The 12,008-nt window shown below is 44.2% G+C and overlaps 1 protein-coding gene across 4 annotated transcripts in view; it reads left to right on the top strand.

The window, feature by feature from the left end:
- GNB5 (G protein subunit beta 5) overlaps window positions 1-12,008 on the top strand; it is a 76,293-nt gene that overhangs the window by 54,921 nt on the left and 9,364 nt on the right. For all 4 annotated transcript variants that reach the window (NM_016194.4, NM_006578.4, NM_001379343.1 and 1 more), the window contains 5 exons: window positions 716-859; window positions 3,003-3,094; window positions 8,228-8,276; window positions 10,428-10,524; window positions 11,833-11,999. In NM_016194.4, coding sequence (NP_057278.2) covers window positions 716-859; window positions 3,003-3,094; window positions 8,228-8,276; window positions 10,428-10,524; window positions 11,833-11,999 — 549 coding nt within the window. The remainder of the gene's footprint in view (window positions 1-715; window positions 860-3,002; window positions 3,095-8,227; window positions 8,277-10,427; window positions 10,525-11,832; window positions 12,000-12,008) is intronic.

Here is a 12,008-nt window from a genome sequence, read left to right as displayed (position 1 = left end):
CAAGCAGCCCAGTGATGTGTATGCATCAGTATCCAAGAAGCACTTTAAGTTTTTGGCCTGCACAGCAGTGGGAGGCATCGAAGGTTTTAAACACTCAGTAGAGACTCACGGAACACTTCCTACGAGCCAGGCATGTGTAGAGCCCTGTAGGTACCACCATGAGGCCGCCAGGATTTCAGCTCTGCTGGGAGGCAGGCATATAAACACAACTCAAGGACTGTGAGGGTAGGAAATGCACTCTTTCCTTCTTTGTATAGAAGAGAGATTTCTGTGCATGAACCCAGATACAGCAGGTAGGGTGTGTGTGTGTGTGTGTGTGTGTGTGTGTGTGTGTGTGTGTGTGTGTGTGTGTGTGTGTTTTCTGCTTTTCCCTGTGTGTGTGTGTGTGTGTGTGTGTGTGTGTGTGTTCTGCTTTTCCCTGCAAAACGTTAAGCCTCTGATTGACTGCCCCCGGCATAAGCAATAACCACAACCATATAAACACAACTCAAGGACTGTGAGGGTGTAGGAAATGCACTCTTTCCTTCTTTGTATAGGAGAGAGATTTCTGTGCATGAACCCAGATACAGCAGGTAGGGTGTGTGTGTGTGTGTGTGTGTGTGTGTGTGTGTGTGTGTGTTCTGCTTTTCCCTGCGGAACGTTAAGCCTCTGATTGACTGCCCCCGGCATAAGCAATAACCACAACCACCCACTTCCTGTCCTTTTCTGCGGGCAGATCCTGACAGCGAGCGGCGATGGCACATGTGCCCTGTGGGACGTGGAGAGCGGGCAGCTGCTGCAGAGCTTCCACGGACATGGGGCTGACGTCCTCTGCTTGGACCTGGCCCCCTCAGAAACTGGAAACACCTTCGTGTCTGGGGTAAAGACCCAGTGGAAATTCCCTAGGGCTCCTGTGTCCACTAAGGAGGCTTATGGTGGCAGTTCTTGTCCATTCATGGGATTAGCCTAGGCACTTCCCTAGAAGGGGCTGCAGGAATTGTTCTCAACTCCCCACTAAACCCCCAGCTCCTGCAGTGACCGCACTGGCTCCAGGCCCCTCTCGGGGGCTTGGTGGGCAGCTACAGGGCTAAGCTGTGAGGGCCTCCTTCTGTTCTGCCACTGATGTTAGCAGTCTATAGAGTAATCTGGAATGTTCTCCTGTATGAGTGCTGCAACTCAAGGTGCATATCTGCCACATTTTAAAATGTCATTCCTCAAGTAAATAGCAGAGAGTTAGCATCTGAGAGCATCAGAGATGCGCACAAGGGCATGGCAGGTCAGATGGCTACTGAGCTGAGGCAACGCTGTGATGCCACCAGGACTTTGAGGCCTGTGGGGCACTCTCCTACCCTACCCCTGCCAGCCACCATCCTCCCTCCCATCACAGGGTGCAAGAAACAGAGGCTTTGAAAGCTCAGAATTGGCAGACAGGGCCACAGAGACTCAGAGAAGCACTAGACTAGGAGTCAGGGTGCCTGGGTCAGGGCTTTGCTACCTGACTGTAAGTCGCATCCGCTATAAGTTGGCCATAGTGCATAGTGGTATTTGCACTTCCCCTCCCCAGGATGGTACAAGCAGTAGATGGAAGAGTTTGCAGTGTGTATGCAAATGGGAGGGGCAAGTCTTTCTGGGGCCAGCCTGAGAATAAGGACAGAGAGCTGGGCCAGCTGACCTTACCATGGGTCCTGTCTCACCTCCGTCAGGAGGCAGTGGTGAGACAGGACAGTGACGCACACACTGTCAGGTGACTTCTGCAGCTGGGACACATAAGGGACCTTTGCTCCAGGCTGCCCACATATCGATCCTGGGAGCCAGGCCAGGGCTGTATGAGCTGTAGTTAGCAGGGACCCTGATTTTCTTCCTGGGTATTTGGCCATGTGTAGATGTTTCAACCCTGTGCCTTGGTATCACTGTATTTATCTCTCCTCAACTCTACTGTGTTTTTAAAAAATTACTGCTATTACTGTAGATCATATTGTCTCTTTCAGAGCACTAAACTGCATCCAATTGAGTGTCCTCTAAAGATGTGAAGGCCTTTCTGGTTTCTTTGCCCACATTTTCAGTAAAGACACTCGGGATGCTGAACTCCCACAGCGGGCCTTCCTCAGATGTGTGATGGTGCTTCATTACACACCTCCCTCTGCTCCAAGTTGAAACCAACAACTTAGACACCAGTTTTAAGCTGTTACTTTTTAGCTGTTTGATCATATAAGCTATTTGACTATTGAGAGTCCACATTCTACTACTTAAGCTTGATAACATGACCACTCTGCAGGAACTTATCAAACTACTCCCAGAGCCTTGATAGGATAATGGAAAAACCCTCATGTCTGTGACCTTCTGGGTCATGTTAGCAACCTGAAGAGAGCATTGACTTTATAGGTGTTGAGGCAGACGCCCAGGGAGGTGACTTGCCTAAGCCACCCTGCGCGTCGATGGCAGCACCCTTATGGGCCCCTGGTTTGCAGATTCCCAGCCCAGCATGCTGCTGAGGGTGCAGATGGCCCGGGGCACCTGGCTCTCCAGCTTTGCTGAGGGCTGCCCCATACACCAAAACAAAGCTGGGACTCTCGGCTGCTCCATTTGGGCACTGCCAACCCATTTATTAATGTCACAACTAGAGAGGTCCCACCACACACCACTGCCTGCCTGCCTTGCCCTCTGGGCTTAGGGAGGCAAGTATAAAGAGAAGAGAGAAAAGAAGGAAAAATGAAAGGAAGGGAGATGCCCGGGGGAGGGTAAGGAGGGTTTGCCTCCATTCAGAAATGTGCAAAAGAAGAAAACAAGCTAAAAGAGGAAGCCGAGTGCCTTCCCTCCTGCCTCCCATCCCAAGACCTAGTTCTAGGCGTCTAAGGGCTTTCTGACTAAGGAAAGTGCCCTCAGGTAAAGCTAGTCTCAGAAAAGTGTGTTGTCAACCATTTGCTAATGGGAAATAAATGGTCTGTGTTATATAACTGGGACTCGTGCCTTGTCTATAGACATTCCTTAAAGTGGCCATAACTCTGGCTAATTTTCATTTGTAGGGATGTGACAAGAAAGCCATGGTGTGGGACATGCGCTCCGGCCAGTGCGTGCAGGCCTTTGAAACACATGAATCTGACATCAACAGTGTCCGGTCAGTGAGTAGAATGTTCATGCCACCTCTCTGTTCTGCCGGCATTGCCTGGCTTGGGTAATCCTTAGCCCAGGAACCGCCTCCAGACTCAGTTTACTTGGCTGAGAGAGGCCTCCCCGGGAAGAAAGGCTGATTGTGGTGGAACTGAACAGTGCTCCAGAACTCATGGAGAATTTTAATTTAATTACATTAGGAGCAATTAATATCCTCCCTAAGTTGAATCAGCATTTTTCATCCATTCATTCAATAAATATTTATTAAGTATTTATATGCTAGATATTATTCTAGGAACTGGGAATATATCAGTGAACAAGATGGACAAGGTCTCTATTCTCTTACAGGAGACAAACTAGACCAAACACAAATATACAATTTCAGATACTGATAACTACTATGATAAAAGTAAAACAGGGAGATGGGATGGGTCATTTCTTAGAGGTCAAAGACAGCCTCACTGAGAAGGTGATCTTTACATTGAGGCCAGGATCATGAAAGAGCCAGGCAAGCAAAGAGCTGGGGGAAGAGCACAGAGATGAGAGGTTAAGGGACCTAACAAAAGGCCAGGTGGTCACTGGAGAGTTTTGAGTTGGGAGGGGTAGGGGTGGCTAACCTGATCATGTTTTGCCTTTAAAAGATCGCTCTGTTGGGAAGCTGAGGCGGGCAGATTGCTTGAGCCCAGGAGTTCGAGACAAGGCTAGGCAACATGGCTCAACCCTGTCTCTACCAAAAAAAAAAAAAAAATTAGCAGGGCATGGTGATGTGTGGAGGAGGCTGAAGTGGGAGGATCGATTGAACCCAGGAGATTGAGGCTACAGTGAGCCGAGATGGTGCCATTGCACTCCAGCCTAGGCAACAGAGCAAGACCGTGTCTCAAAAAAAAAAAAAAAAACCCAAACAAACAAAAAAGATCACTGGCTGTATGGAGAATACATTGTAGGGAACAAGAATGGAAATATGATGACCAGTTAGAGGTGGTTGTGTGAGTTCAAGAAAGAAATGATGGTGACTGGAACTAAGGAAGACATGGTGGAGACAGAGAAATGTCAAGAATTATGAAATATCTGAGATTTTATCTACCTACAAGTTAACAAGTTGGGCTGTCATAGCTCATGGATGCTGGTAGAAGACACAAGACTCCTGGGTCAGAGATGAAGGACAGTTTATTACTCACAGCAATGGCAGTAGCCAGGCTATCAGCCTGTTTGTGCATACTTGAGCCCTAGTTCCACAGGGAGACATGAAAAGGGCCAAATGACACTGGCAGATGCAAGGGATGCACTATAGAAGAACCCTGAGCTTAGGGAACCCACATCTTTTATCGAGGGCAGCAAGCAGCAGTCCATTTACTAAGACAGGGAAGACTGGAGGGATAGCGGGAGGAGGTGGGCTTTGCACATGGATTTAGGAGTTCTTTTGGGGGCTAATTAGGTTTGAGATGCCTGTTAAACATTCAAGATGTCAAGTAAGTGGCAGGATCCATGAATTAGATCCCAAGAGAGAGGTCAGGACTTGCCACGTATGAAAGATGGTACTGTTGAGACAGTTTATAAAGTATTTTCATTATACTCAGAACTCCCAAGAATCTTCATTATACTTAGTGGGAAAACACGAGAATTATTTCTCTTAAAAACAAGAACAAAAAAGAATACTTGCTTACTTTAGTACTTCTTGCCCTCAAATGTGGGATAAGGAAAAAAGAAAAAAAGACTCACTTATTGTAACTGTGCAGTAATTACCTAGAAAATCAAAAGAAATCAATCTGAAAATTACTACAGATAGTAATTGAAGTTAGTAAAATGCAAGATAGAAGATAAAGCCACAAAAATAAGCCCCTGTGTATTAATAAAGTACAGTCATTCCTTGGTATCTGTGGGAGATTGGTTCCAGGACCTCCCTCAGATACCAGAATCCTACATAAAATGATGTAGTATTTTCTCAGGGTATGCTGAAGTTATAAAAATAAATAAATAATAAAATTAAAGTGGTATAGTATTTGCATATAGCCTATGCACATTCTCCCGTGTACTTTAAATCATCTCTCAATTACTTACAATATCTAGTAAGTGTAAATGCGATGTAAATAGTTATTAGACTGTATTGTTTGGAGAATAATGACAAGAAAAAAGGTTCAGTACAGATGCAACATTCCTTTTTCTTTTTTAGAATATTTTTAATCTGCAGTTGATTTTATCCATGAGTGTGGAATCCATGGCTATGGAGGGCCAATGTACAGCTTTAAAATGCACACACTCAGCTGGGCACCGTGGCTCACGCCTGTAATCCCAGCACTTTGGGAGGCCGAGGTGGGCGGATCACTTTAGGTCAGGAGTTTGAGACTAGCCTGGCCAACATGGTGAAACCCCGTCTCTACCAAAAATACAAAAATTAGCCAAATGTGGTGGCACATGACTGTAATACCAGCTACTTGGGAGGCTAAGGCACAAGAATCGCTTGAACCCAGCAGGCAGAGGTTGCAGTGAGCTGAGATCGTGCCACTGCACTCCAGCCTGGGCAGTAGAGCGAGACCCCTTCTCAAAAATAATAAAATAAAATGCACACTCTCTCACCTGAGCTGTTTCATCTCCCCTGAACCCTTTGCTTCTAACCTCCTTTGACCATCAGTTTTCAACTTAGGCTTCCCTCTGTCCAGAAAGCCCCCCTGGTTTCCAGGGCTGAGTTAGGTGCCCTCCTGTGTGAGGGAGACCACACTGCATGGCCAGTTTACTCATCGATCTCCTGCACTGAGGAAGTCAGAGAGAGAGACAGAGAGAAAATGTTATGGTGGTAACCAAACTTTTTAAAGTATTTATGAATTCTTAATGGCAGAAATAAAAGAAGATGTTGATAAATGGAGACATAAACCCAATTCTTGATTGATAGGGAACACTGTAACTTAAAATTTTAAATGGCCATTTTTCTATATACAGTGAATGCAGTTTCAATTAAGTTATTTTATGGAATGGTGTAAACTGACGCTGAGACTTCTGTGACGGATGCTACAGGGACTGATTCAGTGGGCCATGTTCAGGGTGCCTTTTGATTTTCTTCCAGGGCGAACACTGGCTACCATGTCCACCCAAGGCTGAGGTTATACTGAGCGTTGTCATTATTCTCTTAGCATGCCCTTGGTTATACACTGAATTAATTAGGACATGGGCTTGTATGAGAGAAGCCCAAATCACAGTGACTTAAACCAGATGGGAGTTTGTTCTCACCTTAAAATCTGAGCTGCTACGATAGCTCATTCTGTCTTCGCAACCCATTTCCTAGGATGGTGCTCAGTCTCCTGCCCCCACTGGCCTACCACCATGCCTTCTTTCCAGCTGGTTGGTAGAGGAGAGTTGCGCTTATCACTTCTGCCTGCATCCCATTAGCCAGAACATGATCACATGGCCACATCTGGCTACAGGAAGACTAGAAATATAGTTTTCATTCTGCCACCTGCCCAGGAAAAACAAAACAAAACGAACTAGTGTTTCTCAATGGGGTTCAGTATTAGCATTTTGGGAAGGACATTTCTTCATTGTAAGGGAATGTTCCATGTAAGACATTTACCATCCCTATGGCCTAGCCACTGAATTCCAGTAGCACCCCCTGGGTTTAGTGCCATTCAAAAAATCCTGCTTTTATTTAACCATAGCTATAGGAGACAGAGAGAGGGGACACTGGGGGCACAAAAGGTCTCTTCCAGATAATCTATGTATTACCTGGAAGATAATACACTTGGTCCCTGAACTTCCTACCAGCAGAAGGAAATCATAGCCCATGTGGCCCCAAATGGTATTTAATCTAGAAATCATTTTGACATTGGAATATGGATGCGTCAGATACTCCATGAATTCATAATGCTTTCAAAAATATAATGTGCCCACACTGTGATGGACTGACTGGGGCAGAGCTGAAAATGGTTAACATCTGTCATCCAGCTTTTCAATTCTCCATCCCCGTCTTTCAGGCCAATGTAAGTTAGTCACACAAAGTCAAGCTTCCCTCTCCTTTGCCAAATGTTTTGACTCTCACCTCCCGCTGGTAGGAGGAATAAATAATGTTTTAAAAGGACTCCTCCTCCTGCGGCTTTTGTGGAACTATAGGGTAGGTCACTGGTACGAGAAAGGAGAAACAGCGTGGGTGCGGTGACTCACGCCTGTAATCCCAGCACTTTGGGAGGCCTAGGAAGGTGGATCACTTGAGGTCAGGAGTTCAAGACTAGCCTGACCAACATGGTGAAACCCCGTCTCTACTAAAAATACAAAAATTAGCCAGGCATAGTGGCATACACCTGTAATCCCAGCTACTTGGGAGGCTGAGGCATGAGAATCGCTTGAACCTAGGAGGTGGAGGTTGTAGTGAGCCAAGTTCACGCCATTGCACTCCAGCCTGGGCAACAGAATGAGACTCAGTCTCAAAAAAAAAAAAAAAAAAAGGAGAAACAATGGAAGGTGTGGGGAACACAGCTGGGTGAGGCAGAGCGGAGGGGTTTAAAGACATTTGCTCTCATTCTGCCTCTGGCTTATAATTTAGGGCCCATATTTCTCACTAATCATTGAGAAGACAATGACTATAGCAGTAATAATTATCATTTATTGAATGTGATTTAATTGGCACCATGCCAGATTCTTTGCATGGACTGTCTTATGTAATCTTCACAGCAGAAAATATGCATTATTACTCTCACTTTTCAGATGAGGAAACTGAGGCTGGGCAAGAGGAAGTCATTTGCCAAAAGTATCGCAGGTAGTAAATGGTCAGTGCAGACATCCAATGTGGCTTTGTGCGTCTGATTCAGTGTCTGTGCTCATAACCACTTTCTTATCCCTGAGCTCTGGGCCAAGTCTTAGGAATTAGATATGTGATTGAGGGAAACTATATTTATAGGGGGTCTACTCTGTGTTCTGTGCCTGATATCAACACATATTATCTCACTCTGCAAGGCCAGTGTCACTGTCCCCCACTAACAGGGAAGAAAACTAGAGATCAGTGGGCCTGACATAGGAGCTTCCTCTTCCGTCTTCTGCTGCAAATGTTCCTTGAGTCCCTAGAAATAGAGATTCTGATTCCAAGGGCCTAGCATGGTTCTGATGGGCATCCAGGGTCAGGAGTCACAACCGTAGATAAAGTACTTTCTCTCTGCAGGTACTACCCCAGTGGAGATGCCTTTGCTTCAGGGTCAGATGACGCTACGGTATGTTTCTAAGTTTTTGAGAGCTTTTCCTAGTCAATAGAGGGATCTGCTAACTTATTTTAAGAAAATAACTATTTTTCTGGTTACAGAAGTAACGAGTATTCAATAAAGAAAATTTAGGGGAATATTAAATTACCTTGATCTCCTTACCCAAGAAAAATCATAGTTGGATGAATTCCTTTCTGTCTTTTTTTCTTTTTAACAAACAAAATGCTTTATAATTTGGCATTTTCACTTAACAGAATGTGAACATTTTCCCAGGCTGGTAAATATTTCTCTCCATTATATTTTCTTAGTGATTGAGTAGTATTCCATGTTATGAACGTGACATTCGTCTTCAATTTTTGGACATTTGGCTTTTCTCAAGGTTTTTTTTTTTTTCTGTTAAAAACACTACTATAAGTGTTTTTGTACCTCTCATCATTTCCTTAGCATTCTCAGACATAACTTGCTGAGCCATAAATAGACCCAGTTTTAAGGCTTTTGATACTGATTGCCAAATTATTTTCAAGAGAAAAAAATATTTTCTTGTTGCCTTCAAAATATCAAATATCTTATGAAGTAATGGTTTTCATTCTAATTTTCTGCTAAACAAATTACAAAAGAATAGATTGAGAGTTTTGAAATAATGAAAATTTAAAACTTCTGTATATCAAAGATACATAACAAAATATATATGGAAATATATTGTAACAAAATTATAACAAAATATAATTATAACAAATATATATGGAAAAATTCTTGCCACATACAGTACAGACCAAGTTGAAATCCTGTAGATACGAATGGAGTTACATAAACAATAAAATGAACACTCCAATTAAAGAAGAGGGTAAAATGCAGGTCATTTACAAAGCAGTGAATCCACAATGGCAAGTAAACACCTGAAAATATTTTCAAAGTCACCTATAATCAAAGAATTGCATGTTTTAAGTTTTAAGTCATCGGATGCCCATTTTGCCACTAGGATTAGCAAAGAAATGCCCAGAGGTTGGGTTGATGGGGAGCCTGGATCAACCCTGGGGTCAGGATAGTTGGCACCACCCTCCTAGAGGGCAGATTTGCCATATGAATCAAGAGCTTGAAAACATCTCTACTTGGCCAGGCACGGTGGTTCATGCCTGTAATCCCAGCACTGTGGGAGGCCAAGGTGGGTGGATCACCTGAGGTCAGGAGTTCAAGACCAGCCTGGCCAATGTGGTGAAACCCCATCTCTACTAAAAATACAAAAATTAGCCAGGCGTGGTGGCGGTCACCTGTAATCCCAGCTACTCAGGAGGCTTAGGCAGGAGAATCGTTTGAACCCTGGGGAGGCAGAGGTTGCAGTGAGCCAAGATAGCGCCATTGCACTCCAGCCTGGGTGACGAGCGAAATTCCATTTCAAAATAAAATATACAATAAAACATCTCTACTTCTGATCTGGTCATGCTATTTCCTGATAACTCTTCTAAGGATTCTATTTCTTAACCTAGTCTAAGGAAACCTAGTCTAAGGAAACCAGAAACACATGTAAAGATTTTTATATAAGAATAGTCATCATAATATTATTTATAAAAAAGAAAAATTAAACACAACCAAAACAACAGGGTTTGGCTAAATAGATTCTGATATATTCAATAACTATGTACATAATGTTTTTTGAAGTTCTCTTTTAATGATATGAGAAAGGACGTATAACCTAATGTTAATAAAAGCAATAATGAAACATCCAACCCATTCAGATACACACATAAAATACAAATAAGACTGAAGGAAACAGCTGAGAATTAGTAAATACCTCTAGGATTTAGGGTGACCTTCATTTCCTTCTGTTTACATTTTTGAATATTTCCAAATTTTCTACAGTGAACATGTGTCCTTTATCAGAAAAAAAAGTGGGGTCTCATTTTGTTTTTATACCTGAAGAAATTTGCTGTATTTGCCGTTTCTTTACTGACTCATAGAGATTAATAGGAATCAGGACTCTTTACTGACTCATAGAAATTAACAGGAGTCGGGACTAAAGGATGAAATAACAGTAGGGAAAACTAAGAAGTTTTTCCTTCATCTTTTAAACTACGCAAGTCACTAGCACCTACCTGTAGCTCTGTGGTCATCACGTCACCAAACTGAAGCCAGAAGTAAGTGCTTCTTTATTTATTTGCTCCCCAGTGTCGCCTCTATGACCTGCGGGCAGATAGGGAGGTTGCCATCTATTCCAAAGAAAGCATCATATTTGGAGCATCCAGCGTGGACTTCTCCCTCAGTGGTAAGATTTTATTTCAGAAACTTTTCCCAGGACTGTAAGACAGGACCAGAATGAAACTAGCGCTCCATCATCGCTCAGTTCCTTTTCATCAACTGAGCTTCCTGTGGACCAGTATGCGAAATCATCCATATTTGCACCAGTTTTCCTCCTCTGAGCTTCTGACCTCCCACTTTGTCCTGCCCCAGGCAACTTCACTCCAGGGGGAAATGAAGGCTGTGTACCCACCTAATGCTGTCCTTCAAGGCAATGAAGTGTCAGAAATTCACTTCCACAATGCTCTCAGGCATTTTCTCCCCAGCCTTTGCTTCTCTTCATGCCCCAAAGGGAACTTTTCTGTAAGGTGGAGGTGAAGCAAGAGTCCCTTCTTGGTGGGATACTGTGGCTCACGCCTGTAATCCCAGCACTTTGGGAGGCCGAGACAGGCGATCACTTGAGGTCAGGAGTTCAAAACCAGCCTGGCCAACATGGTGAAACCTTGTCTCTAATAAAAATACAAAAATTGGTTGGGCATGGTGGCGCATGCCTGTAATCCCAGCTACTCAGGAGGCTGAGGCAGGAGAATCGCTTGAACCTGGAAAATGGAGCTTGCAGTGAGCTGAGATCGTGCCACTGCACTCCACCCTGGGCAACAGAGCGAGACTCTGACTCAAAGGGAAAAAAAAAATGAGTCCCTTCTCAGTGCCTTGAAGCTCATGGCTCCTTTGTGGGAAGCTGCTGGTGAAAAAGCATAGCTCCAGAAGGATCATGTCAAAAAAAGAAAGAAAAATAGAAAGTTAAAGCAGAGGTAACAGGCTGGCTACCTGGACCACTCCATTTCCCCAGACACATCCCTAGACTAACTGCACGTGAAGTTCCTGCTACTGCCTGGAACATCTTTTCCCTGCCTTCTCTGCATGACAGACTCCGATTCAACCCTCAAGAGCCAACTCAAATGTCACTTTAACTTTCTCTCTTTAAACAAGTTTTACAAGTTGTTAACTAGCAAATGACTAAAAATAATTTACTTGTGTCTGCAGTGCCCTCCTTAATCCCCCTTCCTCTCTGGTCCCATAGCACTTTACGTGTGTAAAGCACTTGCATTATGGCTGTTACCATGGGATGCTACAGTGATCTGTTCCTTTCAGCCCCACATCCTCCAACAGGGACAGGGACTGTGCTTTCTCCCCTTTGAATCCTTGAGGCAAAGCACAGTGCCTAGGACTCAGTGCGCCTGAATCACTGCTTACTGAATGAGTGAGTAACAGTCATGTAATGAGAAACAGGAAGCAAGGAACTGGCTTAACAGCTATCATCTCACCCTGCTTCAAGGTCGCCTGCTGTTTGCTGGATACAATGATTACACTATCAACGTCTGGGATGTTCTCAAAGGGTCCCGGGTCTCCATCCTGTTTGGACATGAAAACCGCGTTAGCACTCTACGAGTTTCCCCCGATGGGACTGCTTTCTGCTCTGGATCATGGGATCATACCCTCAGAGTAAGAGGG

This window comes from Homo sapiens, chromosome 15 (assembly GCF_000001405.40).
Source record: "Homo sapiens chromosome 15, GRCh38.p14 Primary Assembly".
Lineage (NCBI taxonomy): Eukaryota > Metazoa > Chordata > Mammalia > Primates > Hominidae > Homo > Homo sapiens.
This window is presented reverse-complemented; position numbering and strand designations above follow the sequence as displayed.